The sequence below is a fragment of the Homo sapiens genome, chromosome 10 (genome assembly GCF_000001405.40).
Source record: "Homo sapiens chromosome 10, GRCh38.p14 Primary Assembly".
NCBI classification, from domain to species: domain Eukaryota; kingdom Metazoa; phylum Chordata; class Mammalia; order Primates; family Hominidae; genus Homo; species Homo sapiens.
The window spans coordinates 115522177-115539624 of NC_000010.11; the positions used below are offsets into that span (position 1 = coordinate 115522177).

The following is a 17448-nucleotide window of genomic DNA, read 5'->3' on the forward strand; positions in this document are numbered from 1 at the left end:
TATTGCTGAAAAGGAATACCTAAGGCTGGGTAATTTATAAAAAGAGGTTTATTTGGCTCACAGTTGTGCTGGCTGTACAAGAAGTAGGGTGCCAGCATGTGCATCTGGTGAGGGTATCAAACTGCTTCCACTCATGGCAGAAGAGGAAGCGGAGCTGGCATGTGTAGCAATCACATGGGGAGAGAAGAGGTGACAGCCAGAGACTCCTTTAAACAGCCAGCTCTCTTGGGAACTAATAGAGTGAGAACTCATTTGCTACCATAAGGACACCACCAAGTCATTCACAGGGAGTCTGCCCCTGCAACTCAAACACCTTTCATTAGGCTCAATCTCCAACGATGGGTATCAAATTTCAATATGTGCTTTGGAGGGTCAAATATTAAAACTATAGCATTCTATCCCTGGCCCCTCAAATCCCTGGTGTTCTTCTCACATACAAAATATAATCATTTAATCCCAATACTTCCCAGAAGTCTTAACTTGTTTCAGCATCAACTCAGAAGTCCAGAGTCCAAAGTCTCATCTGAGACTCAAAGCAAGTTCCTTTCAGCTTTGAGCCTGTAAAATCAAAATCAAATTATTTATCTCCAAGATACAATGGTGGAACAAATATTGAGTAAACATCTCATTCCAAAAGGGAGAAACTGGTCAAAATATAGTGATAACATGCTGCATGAAAATCCAAAATATAGCGGGGAAGACATTAAATCTTAAAGCTCCAAAATTATCTCCCTTGGTTCCATGTCCTGCACCCTGGGAACATGGATGCACCATAGCCCTGCTCTACTAGGCAATCCCTGGTGGGTACTCTCTTCAGGGCCTCCAACCGCATATTTCTGCTCAGCATTGCCTCACTAGCATCTGTCTGCAGGGTCTCCACCCCTATGGCAGGCTTCTGCCTGGGCACTCAGGCTTTTCAATACATCCCCTGAAATCTCAGTGGAAGCCGACAAGCCTCTAGTACTCATACTTTCTAGCCTCCTTCAGTGGCAGTAGGCACAATACCTGGGGCCATTTGAGCAGCGAGATGTGGGGAGCACTTTCTAGAGATGGGGCATGGCAATGTTGTCCCAAGCCTGTCATCCAAAACCATACCATCTTCCTTGGGCTCTTGGTCTGTGATGGGAAGCCCAGAAGCCTGCCAGATTTGTGAAATGCCTTCAGGGTCTTTCCCCCATTGTCTTTACTAATAGTACCTGGCTCCTTTTATTCATGCTACTTTCTTTAACAAGTGTTTGCTACCCCAGCACTCTTCTGAAAACACTCTTTCCTTCTCTGCCACATGGCCAGGCTGAGGATTCTACAAATTGTTATCCCCTGCTTTCCTTTTGATTATACATTCCAACTCTAGGTTATTTATTTGCTCCTGCATGTGAACATAAGCTGTTAAAAGCAGCCACATTACTTCTTGAGCACTTTGCTGCTTGTCATGGACACAATGTAGCAAAGTTCTTTGACAGGGCATAACAAAGGTTATCTTTGCTTCAGTTCCAGTGATTTCCTCATTTCAGTCTGAGACCCTCAACATGGCCTTTACTGTCTATATTTCAATCAGCATTTTGGTCACAGCCACTTAACCAATTTCTAAGATGTTCCAAACTTTCCCTCATTTTTCTATCTTATGAGCACTCCAGTTCTAAAGCCACTTTTACATTTTTAGGTGTCTTTATAGCAACATACCACTTCCTGGCACCAATTTTCTGTCTTAGTCCATTTGCATTGCTGTAAAAGAATACCTGAGGCTGAGTAATACATAAAGGAAAGAGGTTTACTTGGCTCATGGTTCTGCAGGTTGTGCAAGAAGTATGGTGTTGGCATTTGCATCTGGTGAGGGCCTCAAGCTGTTTCCATTCATGGTGGAAGAGGAAGGGGAGCTGGTATGTGTAGAGATCGAGATCACATGGTGAGAAAGTAGGCAAGAGAGAAGACAGAAGTTCCAGACTCTTTTAAATAACCAGCTGTCATGGGAACATGAGACACAACGATGGCACAAATCCATTTATGATGGATCTACCCCTGTGACCCAAACACCTCCCATTAAGCCCCACCTCTAACATTGAGTATCAAATTTTAACATTTGATTTGGAGGATCAAATATCCAAACTATAGCAGTCACCTAGCTTCTCTAAATCTCAGTCCTTTCATATATTGAACTAAAGGTTTTTTTTTCTTGTTGTTGCTGTGAAATAATATAGTAAATAATTCAAAAATTGAAAAGAATAATTTTTTAAATAAACTCTTCTTGTGTGTAAAATGGAAAAGTAGATGTATCTGAGTCAGAAAAGTCTGAATTATTTATTTTAAAGAACTAAATTAAATGGAAATTTGGTAGAGACTACTATCCCTGTGTTAGACTTTTAGTGGTGGCATTAATTTTCTATATCATTGGATGACATTATATTTTGTATTTATTAACTTGTCCAGTTGGGAGTAGTTTCAGAGATTACCAGTTGGTCTTTTCCACTATGACTGATCTTATCCTATAAGCCAGGGACACAGTGTAGAGGTTATTCCAGCTACCTTGTACATCAGTTCTATTTATACACTTAAAGAGTGGGGAAATGACCAATGGGTGGATCCATTGACATAGTGGGCACACTGTGAGCAAGAATTTAGTCAGAATTTGTTATGTGCCCCCACCCCATGAACACCCCAACTCTAATAAGAGGACATGATGATATTTTGAATGCTTGGCTATCTGTGTCTAATGGGAGTCAATTAGGCCCTCATGTCTAATGGTAGTCAAAATGTCTGCTTATTCCTCCTGTACTGTATATATATCCTCATGCATATACCAATGTATATAATCAAGTTTATGGTGTAGGTATTTTCAGGGATCATTTTACCCACTTTTCAAAATGTTTCAGGGACCTTCCTTCTATGGACTCAGTCACCTGATTAGTTAATCGGTTTTGGATTTTAAAATTAGCTGAAATCTGGGAACTGTGAAGAGAAACATGGCCCTCCATTGAAGCAACAACCCTCAGTCTCCTGTTCCTTCATTCTTACTTAAAATGAAACCAGATGTTAAATAGTACCACTGTTGGCTGCCCACCTATTTTCCCTTCAGAATACCATGCCTTATTAATAATCCCTACAACTCTTTGTGAGCCAACCCCCTTGGCAGTTCGTCCAATCTTGTTGATCTAATTATGGTAATTGTGGTTTCTGGATTCTGGCAGTTAAGCGCTGACACCTGTCGTCTATTACATTGGGTCTCCATCTTTTTATGGCAATTAACAAACCTAGCCCTGTGACTATCTCTCGTATTTTCGGGACTGCTCTGAAGAGGAGAGCCAGCTCTAAGCCTCCTTATAATACTGGTGCCTCTCTTATCAGCATATTCATAACAGCCTTAATGCATAGTTTGTCCTCTGAGTCCTCCCATGGAACACAACCTGGTAGTTCTTCTGGCCTCCTATAATATAAACCATTCCAGCATATCCCCTTCTCTCAGTGTTTTTATAACTTTCTCTTCCATAAGCCAGGACAACCCAGGCATTTCAATTTCACTTGTACTGGACATTGCATTTTTCAGGCTTCTACGAGTCACTCTAGCAACAAGTTTGCTCCATTCCCTGGAATCCTCAGTAGGGTATTACATCTCTGTGGTCCTGAAAATATGCACCAAAACCAATGAGTTTTTATTTATCCAGTCTTAACATTTCGTTGCCCTTTATCAAATATTTAAATCTGGTCATACTTCCATGGCTCCTGCCAGTACGTGCTCCCTAAATCTTGCATCCGTATCAATTGTGTAATCCATTTTCTTTCGTATCAGGCTCAGTTGGGTCATGCTGTGATTTAATCCCCCTAATCAGTCTGGCAGCCAAGAAAAGAAGTGGTGACAGTTTGTGAGGGGGCACCTGTTACCTAAGAGAGAAGAGAGCTCTTTAGTGTCTTCCAGCATAACGAAATGCTAGGTATTGCTAGGGAAGCGGTTGGTAAAACCAACATCCTCAGAAGCATTCATTCATATATTCCTATTCCATATTTCAGGTTCCTAGGTCTCCTGAACCATGGCCCTTTTTGCATAACACAACTTCTTTGGCTTAGCATTCTGTCATCTCTGGAGCTCTGCAACTCTACAACAATTAGATCATCATCCTGCTGGTCATTCATGTTGGCATTTCTGCTATCAGTCATCAGGGCCTCATTTAAAGCTATGAAAGAGACCCACTGGCTCTTTTATTTAGCCAGTAAATGGTTTGTTAATGGCCTTCAGTCTCTCATTATCCCTCTGCAGGTATCAATACAACATAATGATAATCATTCTACTCCACTCTCTTTTGAAGGTGTTTTCCCCATCTTCCAAGCACCTGAATTGCTGTACCTTCAAGTATTTTCTCTATCAGTGCATTTTCTCAGGTCACCACTGGTGAAATCCAGCAATTTAAGTCTTCTGCCAGGAACTGTGTTCCACCCACCAACATGGATGTTGTCCTCTTAGCCTGCCAATCAGTGAGTGAATCAGTTCCTCATCTCCATCTTACCTTCTGTTTACTTGGACCATAAGTCCTCTGAGACACAGAAGCCAAGATGGGATTAGATAAGCAATAAACGTGTTAGGGGAACTTCTGTGAGGGGAAATTGGGAGAAGGGAGGGGAGATAATGGGAGAATTTGAGACCACAATGCCTACCTGCCTTTGTGAGGGAGAGAAGCAAGAAAGGGAAGGTGAGTGAAAGAGCCTGAGAATGCAGGGCACTTCTAAGAATGTTTAACACCAGTGGTGTAGCCTTGAGCAAAAGTTACCCATCAAAGGAGTCTTCCATCTCCCAGGAACAGGCCCGCCTTGGTATTTCTGCCATGTTTAGTCCTTGACTAAGGACAGCCCTTGGGAAGCATGGGCTCAGTGTGAATAAAATGATGGATTTCAGAGTGCAGTAGCTGGGGCCACTAGTCAGTTATGCTCTCTGCCATCAGGGATCAGAGAGGCACTTTTTTTTTTTTTTCCCCCCCGAGATAGGGTCTCACTCTGCCTCCCAGGCTGGAGTGTAGTGGCACAATCTCAGTTCACTCAACCTCTGCCTCCCAGGCTCAAGCGATCCTCCCACCTCAGCCTCCTGAGTAGCTGGGACCACAGGAGCTTGCCATCACAGCTGACTAAGTTTTTTGTATTTTTGGTAGAGATGGGGTTTCACCGTGTTGCCCAGGCTGGTCTCAGGCTCCTGAGCTCAAGTGATCCGCTCACCTCGGCCTTCCAAAGTGCTGAGATTACAGGCATGAGCCACTGTCCCCAGCCAGAGAAGTATATCTTAGTGGTTGGCACAATGGAGTTATTTGTTGTGTGATGGTTGATAGAACTGACCTATAAAACCTGTAAAAAATGATTTTGGTAATGTGTTTGTATTTATTTTTGTGTAGTTTATATTTTTGAGGGTAGATTTTTAAATTTGACTAAGTTTCAGTAATATTTGTGTCTATGGAGGTTTTTAATTTTTTCCTGACCTAGTTGGTAATTGGCTTTTTAATGGAAGTTGTACTCTTTGTTTCATTTTATAAATTCATTGACATATTTACAATATTAATACTCTGAAGTTTGTTCTATATTAGAATTGTGCCTACCCTTTTATTGAGAATTTTGCCTATTTTTCCTTCCTTCCCTCCCTCCCTCCCTCCTTCCCTCCCTCCCTTCCTTCCTTCCTTCCTCCCTTCCTCCCTCCCTCCTTCCTTATCCTTCCTTCCTTCTTTCCTTCCCTCCCTCCCTCCTTCCCTCCCTTCCTTCCTTCCTTCCTTCCTCCCTTCCTCCCTCCTTCCTTCTCCTTCCTTCCTTCTTTCCTTCCCTCCCTCCCTCCTTCCCTCCCTCCCTCCCTCCCTCCCTTCCTTCCTTCCTTCCTTCCTTCCTTCCCTCCTTCCTTTCTTCCTTCCTTCCTTCCTTCCTTCCTTCCTTCCTTTCCCTTCTCATTTCTAAAAATAATCTGCTTCAGCTGCATTCTGTAGACATTAATATGTAGTATGCTGGTCTCATAGAATGATTTAGGAATTGTTCCTTCCTTTTCACTTTTTGGGAAAAGTTTGAGCATTGGTATTAGTTATTTTTTAAATGGGTAGAATTTATCAGTGAAGCCATTGAGTTCAGGGCTTCTTTGTTGTGGTATATTTGATTACTGATTCAATCTCCTTACTGGTTATAAATCTATTCCATTTTCTATTCCTTTATCATTCAATCTTGGTAGGTTTTATGTTTCTAGGGATTTGTCCATTTCACCTAGCTTATCCAATTTATTAGTGTATAATTGTTCATAGTACTCTCCTATAATCATTTTTATTTCTGCAGAATTGGCAGTAATGACCCGACTTTTCATTTCTAAATTTTGTAATTTCAGTTTTCTTTCTCTTTTCTTTTTTTTTGGTCAGTCTAACTAAAGGTTTGCCAATTTTGTTGCTCTTTTTCAAGAATCAACTTTTGGTATTGTTGATTTTCTCTATTGTTTTTCTATTTTCTCTATTGTTTATCTTGCTCTAATATTTATAATTTCCTTCATTCTGCTACCTTTGAATTTAGTTTGTTCTTTTTCTAGTTCAAGTTGTAAAGTTAAGTTGCGTATTTGAGATCTTTCTTCTTTTTTAGTATGTTTATAACTAAATTTCCCTTTTATCCACTGCTTTACAGTGTTCCATGAGTTTTGGTATGTTGTGTTTTAATTTTCACATTTCTCTAAATATTTTCTAATTTCATTGTGATTTTGTCTTTCAACCATTGATCAAATGTGTGTTGGTAATTTCCACATACTTTTTAATGTTCAAGTTTTTCTTCTGTTTTTGATTTCTAACTTTATCCCACTGTGGGTGGTGAAGATACTTTGCACATTTATCTTTTAAAATCTACCGAGATATAATTTGTTACCTAACATATATTCTGTCCTGGAGAATGTCTTCTGTGCCCATCAGGAGAATATGTATTCTGTTGTTTTTAGGTAGAATATCCTGTATATATCTATTAGATCTTGGTGGTTTATTGCATTGCTCTAGACCTCTGTTTCCTTTATTATCTTCTGTCTGATTGTTCTATCCTTTACTGAGAATGGAGTTGAATTATTGTTTTAATCATTTGGATTTCTCTCTGTTCCTATTGTTACTTTTTGTCTTAAAGAACATTTTTAACTTAAATATAGTATTTCTTTATTAGAATTTGTCTATGTCTTTTTGCATATCTTTTAAAATTTTTTCTCTTGTTATATTTTGTGTATGTTTCTTTTATACCAAAAATATCTGGATATTTTGGTTTTGTTTTAATAATCTGGGAATCTCTTAATTTTATGTGACAGGGAAATAAATGGAAATTTTCTTTTTTCTTCTCTTCTGATTTTTATTAATTGAATGAGCTTCTTATTAATTGAATGAGCTTCTAATGTTCTTTTATTTTCCTTTTAGCAGTTTAAGAATTATAGTTTTTTTTATTTAATGATTACTCTTAAATTTTAACAAGCATATTTCCCTAACCAACAATAATATTAATCAGTATGTCTTTTATCCTCCTGAATCATATAGGAGAACTAAAAAACTTCAAAACTTTTACTTATCATTGTCTAATTTTTAAACGTTTTCCAATTTCTAATTTTAATTTGTGTTTTATTTGGTGATATAATTCACATATAATACAATTCACCAATTGAAAGTGCACAGTTATTCTTCAACCATTATTGCAATCAATTTTAGAACATATCATCATCCCCAAAAGAAGCCATGTACTCATCAGTAGTCACTCCCCCCTTTTACATACCCCTAGTTCTGAAAAATCACTAATCTACTTTCTGTCCATAGATTTGCCTATTCTGGACATCTTATATAAATGGAATCGTACAATATGTGTTCTTTTGTGACTGGTTCCTTTCATTAGCACAATGTTTCTTATCCGTAACGTAGTATGGATCAGTACTTTGTTTCTTTTTATTGCTGAATAATATTTCATCTTATGTGTATAACACATTTTATTTCTCTATTAGTTGATGGTTATTTGAGTTCTTTCTTCTTTTTCACTGTTGTGAATAATACTACTATGCACATTTGTGTGTAAGTTTTTATGTGGATATATATTTTCATTTCTCTTAAGTATATAATTAGGAGTAGAATTGTTGATCACATGGTAACTCTAGGTTAAACATTGTGATAAACTGCCAAACATTTTTTTAAAGAAGATGTATCATTTTATAATCTTACCAGCAAGGATCAGACATTTATTTTTTCCACATTCTTACTAAAGTTTGTATTAACTGCCTTTCTTATAGCCATCTTAGTGGGCATAAAGTGGTAAGAGATGATGCATATTTAGAGGAATTAAAAATGAAAGATTAAAGGAATCTAAAGAATACAACAGGCAAAGAAATAATAAGAGTTAAGCGCTTGAAAAACAAGAACAATCAAAGATGACTACATGGAAGCAAGCATGCAAGTGAGCAGAATAATGCAAAGTTAAGTATAGTGTTCATGATTTGGGAAAAATAAGACTTTTTATTATTATTATTATACTTTAAGTTTTAGGGTACACGTGCACAATGTGCAGGTTAGTTACATATGTATACATGTGCCATGCTGGTGTGCTGCACCCATTAACTCGTCATTTAGCATTAGGTATATCTCCTCATGCTATCCCTCCCCCCTCCCCCCACCCCACAACAGTCCCCAGAGTGTGATGTTCCCCTTCCTGTGTCCATGTGTTCTCATTGTTCAATTCCCACCTATGAGTGAGAACATGTGGTGTTTGGTTTTTTGTCCTTGCGATAGTTTACTGAGAATGATGATTTCCAATTTCATCCATGTCCCTACAAAGGGCATGAACTCATCATTTTTATGGCTGCATAGTATTCCATGGTGTATATGTGCCACATTTTCTTAATCCAGTCTGTCATTATTGGACATTTGGGTTGGTTCCAAGTCTTTGCTATTGTGAATAGTGCCGCAATAAACATATGTGTGCATGTGTCTTTATAGCAGCATGATTTATAGTCCTTTGGGTATATACCCAGTAATGGGATGGCTGGGTCAAATGGTATTTCTAGTTCTAGATCCCTGAGTAATCGCCACACTGACTTCCACAATGGTTGAACTAGTTTACAGTCCCACCAACAGTGTAAAAGTGTTCCTATTTCTCCACATCCTCTCCAGCACCCGTTGTTTCCTGACTTTTTAATGGTTGCCATTCTGACTGGTGTGAGATGGTATCTCATTGTGGTTTTGATTTGCATTTCTCTGATGGCCAGTGATGGTGAGCATTTTTTCATGTGTTTTTTGGCTGCATAAATGTCTTCTTTTGAGAAGTGTCTGTTCATACCCTTTGGCCACTTTTTGATGGGGTTGTTTGTTTTTTTCTTGTAAATTTGTTTGAGTTCATTGTAGATTCTGGATATTAGTCCTTTGTCAGATGAGTAGGTTGTGAAAATTTTCTCCCATTTTGTAGGCTGCCTGTTCACTCTGATGGTAGTTTCTTTTGCTGTGCAGAAGCTCTTGAGTTTAATTAGATCCCATTTGTCAATTTTGGCTTTTGTTGCCATTGCTTTTGGTGTTTTAGACATGAAGTCCTTGCCCATGCCTATGTCCTGAATGGTAAAGCCTAGGTTTTCTTCTAGGGTTTTTATGGTTTTAGGTCTAACGTTTAAGTCTTTAATCCATCTTGAATTAATTTTTGTATAAGGTGTAAGGAAGGGATCCAGTTTCAGCATTCTACGTATGGCTAGCCAGTTTTCCCAGCACCATTTATTAAATAGGGAATCCTTTCCCCATTGCTTGTTTTTCTCAGGTTTGTCAAAGATCAGATAGTTGTAGATATGCGGCATTATTTCTGAGGGCTCTGTTCTGTTCCATTGATCTATATCTCTGTTTTGGTACCAGTACCATGCTGTTTTGGTTACTGTAGCCTTGTAGTATAGTTTGAAGTCAGGTAGTGTGATGCCTCCAGCTTTGTTCTTTTGGCTTAGGATTCACTTGGCGATGCGGGCTCTTTTTTGGTTCCATATGAATTTTAAAGTAGTTTTTTCCAATTCTGTGAAGAAAGTCATTGGTAGCTTGATGGGGATGTCATTGAATCTATAACTTACCTTGGGCAGTATGGCCATTTTCATGATATTGATTCTTCCTACCCATGAGCATGGAATGTTCTTCCATTTCTTTGTGTCCTCTTTTATTTCATCGAGTGCTGGTTTGTAGTTCTCCTTGAAGAGGTCCTTCACATCCCTTGTAAGTTGGATTCCTAGGTATTTTATTCTCTTTGAAGTAATTGTGAATGGGAGTTCACTCATGATTTGGCTCTCTATCTGTTATTAGTGTATAAGAATGCTTGTGATTTTTGTACATTGATTTTGTATCCTGAGACTTTGCTGAAGTTGCTTATCAGTTTAAGGAGATTTTGGGCTGAGACAGTGGGGTTTTCTAGATATACAATCATGTCGTCTGCAAACAGGGACAATTTGACTTCCTCTTTTCCTAATTGAATACCCTTTATTTCCTTCTCCTGCCTAATTGCCCTGGCCAGAACTTCCAACACTATGTTGAATAGGAGTGGTGAGAGAGGGCATCCCTGTCTTGTGCCAGTTTTCAAAGGGAATGCTTCCAGTTTTTGCCCATTCAGTATGATATTGGCTGTGGGTTTGTCATAGATAGCTCTTATTATTTTGAGATACATCCCATCAATACCTAATTTATTGAGAGTTTTTAGCATGAAGGGTTGTTGAATCTTTTCTGCATCTATTGATATAATCATGTGGTTTTTGTCTTTGGTTCTGTTTATATGCTGGATTACATTTATTGATTTGCGTATATTGAACCAGCCTTGCATCCCAGGGATGAAGCCCACTTGATCATGGTGGATAAGCTTTTTGATGTGCTGCTGGATTCGGTTTGCCAGTATTTTATTGAGGATTTTTGCATCAAGGATATTGGTCTAAAATTCTCTTTTTTGGTTGTGTCTCTGCCCGGCTTTGGTATCAGGATGATGCTGGCCTCATAATGAGTTAGGGAGGATTCCCTCTTTTTCTATTGATTGGAATAGTTTCAGAAGGAATGGTACCAGTTCCTCCTTGTACCTCTGGTAGAATTCGGCTGTGAATCCATCTGGTCCTGGACTCTTTTTGGTTGGTAAGCTATTGATTATTGCCACAGTTTCAGATGGTGTTATTGGTCTATTCAGAGATTCAACTTCTTCTTGGTTTAGTCTTGGGAGAGTGTATGTATCGAGGAATTTATCCATTTCTTCTAGATTTTCTAGTTTATTTGCGTAGAGGTGTTTGTAGTATTCTCTGATGGTAGTTTGTATTTCTGTGGGATCAGTGGTGATATCTCCTTTATCATTTTTTATTGTGTCTATTTGATTCTTCTCTCTTTTTTTCTTTATTAGTCTTGCTAGCTGTCTATCAATTTTGTTGATCCTTTCAAAAAACCAGCTCCTGGATTCATTAATTTTTTGAAGGGTTTTTTTGTGTCTCTATTTCCTTCAGTTCTGCTTTGATTTTAGTTATTTCTTGCCTTCTGCTAGGTTTTGAATGTGTTTGCTCTTGCTTTTCTAGTTCTTTTAATTGTGATGTTAGGGTGTCAATTTTGGATCTTTCCTGCTTTCTCTTGTGGGCATTTAGTGCTATAAATTTCCCTCTACACACTGCTTTGAATGCGTCCCAGAGATTCTGGTATGTTGTGTCTTTGTTCTCGTTGGTTTCAAAAAACATCTTTATTTCTGCCTTCATTTCGTTATGTACCCAGTAGTCATTCAGGAGCAGGTTGTTCAGTTTCCATGTAGTTGAGCGGTTTTGAGTGAGTTTCTTAATCCTGAGTTCTAGTTTGATTGCACTGTGGTCTGAGAGACAGTTTGTTATAATTTCTCTTCTTTTACATTTGCTGAGGAGAGCTTTACTTCCAAGTATGTGGTCAATTTTGGAATAGGTGTGGTGTGGTGCTGAAAAAAATGTATATTCTGTGGATTTGGGATGGAGAGTTCTGTAGATGTCTATTAGGTCTGCTTGGTGCAGAGCTGAGTTCAATTCCTGGGTATCCTTGTTGACTTTCTGTCTCGTTGATCTGTCTAATGTTGACAGTGGGGTGTTAAAGTCTCCCATTATTATTGTGTGGGAGTCTAAGTCTCCTTGCAGGTCACTCAGGACTTGCTTTATGAATCTGGGTGCTCCTGTATTGGGTGCATATATATTTAGGATAGTTAGCTCTTCTTGTTGAATTGATCCCTTTACCATTATGTAATGGCCTTCTTTGTCTCTTCTGATCTTTGTTGGTTTAAAGTCTGTTTTATCAGAGACTAGGATTGCAACCCCTGCCTTTTTTTGTTTTCCATTTGCTTGGCAGATCTTCCTCCATCCTTTCATTTTGAGCTTATGTGTGTCCCTGCACATGAGATGGGTTTCCTGAATACAGCACAACTGTATGGGTCTTGACTCTTTATCCAGTTTGCCAGTCTGTGTCTTTTAATTGGAGCATTTAGTCCATTTACATTTAAACTTAATATTGTTATGTGTGAATTTGATCCTGTCATTATGGTGTTAGCTGGTTATTTTGCTGGTTAGTTGATGCAGTTTCTTCCTAGTCTCGATGGTCTTTACATTTTGGCATGATTTTGTAGCAGCTGGTACCGGTTGTTCCTTTCCATGTTTAGTGCTTCCTTCAGGAGCTCTTTTAGGGCAGGCCTGGTGGTGACAAAATCTCTCAGCATTTGCTTGTCTGTAAAGTATTTTATTTCTTCTTCACTTATGAAGCTTAGTTTGGCTGGATATGAAATTCTGGGTTGAAAATTCTTTTCTTTAAGAATGTTGTCCTATTGGCCCCCACTCTATTCTGGCTTGTAGAGTTTCTGCTGAGAGATCCGCTGTTAGTCTGATGGGCTTCCCTTTGAGGGTAACCCGACCTTTCTCTCTGGCTGCCCTTAACATTTTTTCCTTCATTTCAACTTTGGTGAATCTGACAATTATGTGTCTTGGAGTTGCTCTTCTCGAGGAGTATCTTTGTGGCGTTCTCTGTATTTCCTGAATCTGAATGTTGGCCTGCCTTGCTAGATTGGGGAAGTTCTCCTGGATAATATCCTGCAGAGTGTTTTCCAACTTGGCTCCATTCTCCCCGTCACTTTCAGGTACACCGATCAGACGTAGATGTGGTCTTTTCACATAATCCCATATTTCTTGGAGGCTTTGTTCGTTTCTTTTTATTCTTTTTTCTCTAAACTTCCCTTCTCGCTTCATTTCATTCATTTCATCTTCCATCACTGATACCCTTTCTTCCAGTTGATCGCATCGGCTCCTGAGGCTTCTGCATTCTTCACGTAGTTCTCAAGCCTTGGTTTTCAGCTCCATCAGCTCCTTTAAGCACTTCTCTGTATTGGTTATTCTAGTTATACATTAGTCTAAATTTTTTTCAAAGTTTTCAACTTCTTTGCCTTTGGTTTGAATATCCTCCTGTAGCTCGGAGCAGTTTGATTGTCTGAAGCCTTCTTCTCTCAACTCATCAGAGTCATTCTCCGTCCAGCTTTGTTCCGTTGCTGGTGAGGAACTGCGTTCGTTTGGAGGAGGGGAGGTGCTCTGGTTTTTAGAGTTTCCAGTTTTTCTGCTCTGTTTTTTCCCCATCTTTGTGGTTTTATCTACTTTTGGTCTATGATGATGGTGATGTACAGATGGGTTTTCGGTGTGGATGTCCTTTCTGTTTGTTAGTTTTCCTTCTAGCAGATAGGACCGTCAGCTGCAGGTCTGTTGGAGTTTGCTAGAGGTCCACTCCAGACCCTGTTTGCCTGGGTATCAGCAGCGGTGTCTGCAGAACAGCAGATTTTCGTGAACCACGAATGCTGCTGTCTGATCGTTCCTCTGGAAGTTTTGTCTCAGAGGATTACCTGGCTGTGTGACGTGTCAGTCTGCCCCTACTGGGGGGAGCCTCCCAGTTAGGCTTCTCGGGGGTCAGGGGTCAGGGACCCACTTGAGGAGGCAGTCTGCCCGTTCTCAGATCTCCAGCTGCGTGCTGGGAGAACCACTGCTCTCTTCGAAGCTGTCAGACAGGGACATTTAATTCTGCAGAGGTTACTGCTGTGTTTTTGTTTGTCTGTGCCCTGCCCCCAGAGGTGGAGCCTACAGAGACAGGCAGACCTCCTTGAGCTGTGGTGGGCTCCACCCAGTTCAAGCTTCCCAGATTCTTTGTTTACCTAAGCAAGCCTGGGCAATGGCGGGCGCCCCTCCCCCAGCCTCGCTGTTGCCTAGCAGTTTGATCTCAGATTGCTGTGCTAGCAATCAGTGAGACTCCGTGGGCGTAGGACCCTCCGAGCCAGGTGTGGGATATAATCTCCTGGTGCGCCATTTTTTAAGCCCGTCGGAAATGCGCAGTATTGGGGTGGGCTTGACCTGATTTTCCAGGTGCCGTCTGTCACCCCTTTCTTTGACTAGGTAAGGGAATTTCCTGACGCCTTGTGCTTCCCAAGTGAGGCAATGCCTCGCCCTGCTTCGGCTCTCGCACGGTGCGCTGCACCCACTGTCCTGCGCCCACTGTCTGGCACTCCCTAGTGAGATGAACCCGGTACCTCAGATGGAAATGCAGAAATCACCCGTCTTCTGCGTCGCTCATGCTGGGAGCTGCAGACCGGAGCTGTTCCTATTCAGCCATCTTGGCTCCTCCCAAAAATAAGACATTTAATCATGTTGTACATAAACATATTTTGAAAGAGAAAAAAGAAGAAAATGTAACTCCCTGAAGAAAAAAGGTGAACCTAATTTAGTCACAGGATCTCTACATCAAAGAGATATAATCCTAGAATATTTGCCAAAAAGTTTTTTAAACAATGTGTAAGGACACTGTGAAGAATTACAAATACAAAAAAGTCTCTGTTTAAAAAAATAAGATTATGATGATGGATATGGTAATGGAAATGACACCTGAAGATATGGATTTTGCTAAGTAGAAACAATAAATGATTTCTTACTGTACTGGAAGTTCACTTAGGAATTTTCTCCATGGTTTTTTTGTGGAATACAGTAGATACTTAGGACCTAACTGTTCTTGTAAACCAAAATATTTAATGCGGTGGGAGTAAACTAGTGATGGTACGTTTTCTTGCAACTTAGTTAAACCAGTGCTCCCCATCTAGTTTACAAAGCTGAGGTTTATCGTACTAGACACTGAAATAGACTTCTCCAAGAGTCATATCAGTAACTTCACACTTTGACTTAAATATTGCTTTACACCTCAAACTTAACATGCTTTAAATTGAATTTACTGTACTGGGAAACAGTCTCTTTTTTTCCAGTTTTCTGTAGCTCAGTTATAGGTATCACTATTTAACTCACTTGAATACTTGGGACTCATTTAAATCCTCTTTCCTTAATGACCTACATGAACATCAGTTCTAACTTCTTTGTATCAATATATTATATGTAAATTAGCCAAAGTGGTAATTTAAACATAAATTATTAACTCCACTGTTTAAAATCTTCCTTTTACATTTATAATTCAAAGTATGAGTATTCTCATACTTAAAGTATACCAGTCACTTTTTCATTGTTAGAGGGGGCAGTGGTTAATTACTTGCCTTTTTTTCCAGCATTTTTTTGGTCCTTATTGTTTGTTTTTTACTTCTGTTGGAAGCATTTTAAAATTTCTGTGCAGTAAAATTCCTTTTGCGGGGAGTACAGTTGTGTGAGTTTTAACACATGCATCATTTATTATAATTACCAGCTCTCCCAGGATACAGAACAATGCCAAAGCCCCAGTGAATACCTCATAGAGCCTTCTTTGCAGTCAGACTTTCTCCCCACCCCTACACGCTGGCAACCATTGACCTGATCTCTGTTCTTGCAGTTTTGCCTTTTCCAGAATGTCATTCAAATGGCTTCTTTCCCTTAGTCTACTGCATTTAAGATTCATCCAAGGTGCTTTTTTGTATCAATAGTCCATTTCATTTCATTGCTAAGTAGTATTTCATTATATGGATATATCACACTTTGTTTATCCATTCACCCATTGAGAGATATGGATTGTTACAGTTTTTGGTACTTATAAATAATGCTGCTGTGATCAACATACATACAAGTTTTACACAAACATAAGTTTTCATTTCTCTAGCATAAATACCAGGAAGTAGGGTTGCTGGGTCACAGGGTGGATGTATATTCATCTTTATAATAGCTGCCACTGTTTTTCAGAGTGACTGTACAATTCTGTGCTGCGACCAGCAAAGCTCAGGGTTCCAGTTGTTGCACATTCTCACCAGTGCTTGGTCCTGTCAACATTTTTTATTTTAGCCATTCTGATAAATGTGTAGTGGTATCTTGTGGTAATTTTAACTTGCATTTCCTTAATGGCTAATGACGTTGAATATCTTTTCATGTGCTTATTAGTTATACTTTCATTTTCTTTGGTGAAGTATTTTTCAAATCTTTTGCCTAGTTTTAATTGCTTTTTAGTTTTGCTGTTTATTTTTGAATATTGAATGTTTTTTGTATATTCTGGATACAACTCTTTTGCCAGATGTGATTTGCAAATATTTTCCCTCAGTCTTTGAATTGTCTTTTCATTCTCTTAACAGTATCTTTTATGGAGTGAAAAGTTTTAGTTTTTATAAAATTCAATTTAATGCATTTTTTTAAAAACTTGATTATGCTTTTGACGTCATATCCAAGGACTCTCCCTAACTCAAGTTAACATAGATTTCTTTCTAACAGTTTTATACAGTCAATGCACTACATAACATTTTGGTCTATGACAGACCACATATATGATGGTACTTATAAGATTATATTACTATATGTTTACTGTACCTTTTCTATGTTTAGATACACAAAAACCATTGTGTTATAATTACCTACAGTATTCAATACAGTAACATGCTATATAGGTTTGTACCCTAGTAACAATAGGCTATACCAATGGCTTTCATGTGTAGTAGGGTATACCATCAGTGTTTGTTTAAGCACCCTCTATGATGTTTGCACAGGGATGAAATTTGTCTAATGATGCATTTCTTAGAACATATCCCCATTAGTAAGTGACACATGACTGTATTTTTACATTGTACCTTTAGATCTGTGATCCATTTCAGTTATTTTTTGTTTATGTTGAGGTGTAATTCAATGCTGATTATTTCACATGTGGATATCCTGTTGTTACACCATGATTTGTTATAAAGGAAAAACCTTTCCATTTTGAAATGCTTTTGCAACTTTGTCAAACATTCACCATAGGGTTCCAGTTCCAGGTAAGATTGTGTAAACACACATCTCTTTTTCTCTAAGTGAACTCAACCATGAAACCTGGACAAAATTCATGGGCAGCTATTTGGTATATGATATCAGCAGGCAGAGCAGAGAAGAACACCAGAATTCAAAGTACTGGTGAACCATCTAGAAGTTTGCCATTTTTCCCCTTTAGTGCCCCCTGACCTGAAGTCAATGCAATTTGAAACTTGGAAGTAACTACTATAGTTTGGACAGGGTAAAGTCCTCTAGTTCTGGCCCATGATGTGGAAAAGGGAACTCTTAAGCTC

At 39.0% G+C, this 17448-nt stretch overlaps 1 protein-coding gene across 9 annotated transcripts in view, besides 1 other annotated feature; it reads left to right on the forward strand.

The window, feature by feature from the left end:
- The window catches only part of ATRNL1 (attractin like 1), an 855635-nt gene that overhangs the window by 428812 nt on the left and 409375 nt on the right, over nucleotides 1-17448 (forward strand). The gene's annotated exons all lie outside the window — the stretch shown is intronic.
- Nucleotides 13574-14773: an enhancer, noted in NCBI's record as "BRD4-independent group 4 enhancer chr10:117295260-117296459 (GRCh37/hg19 assembly coordinates)". NCBI's record gives its function as "activates an origin of replication core promoter dependent on BRD2, P300/CBP, MED14 and CDK7 cofactors, and independent of BRD4, by STARR-seq in HCT116 cells {active_cell/tissue: HCT116}" and the evidence as "EXISTENCE:reporter gene assay evidence [ECO:0000049][PMID:35650434]".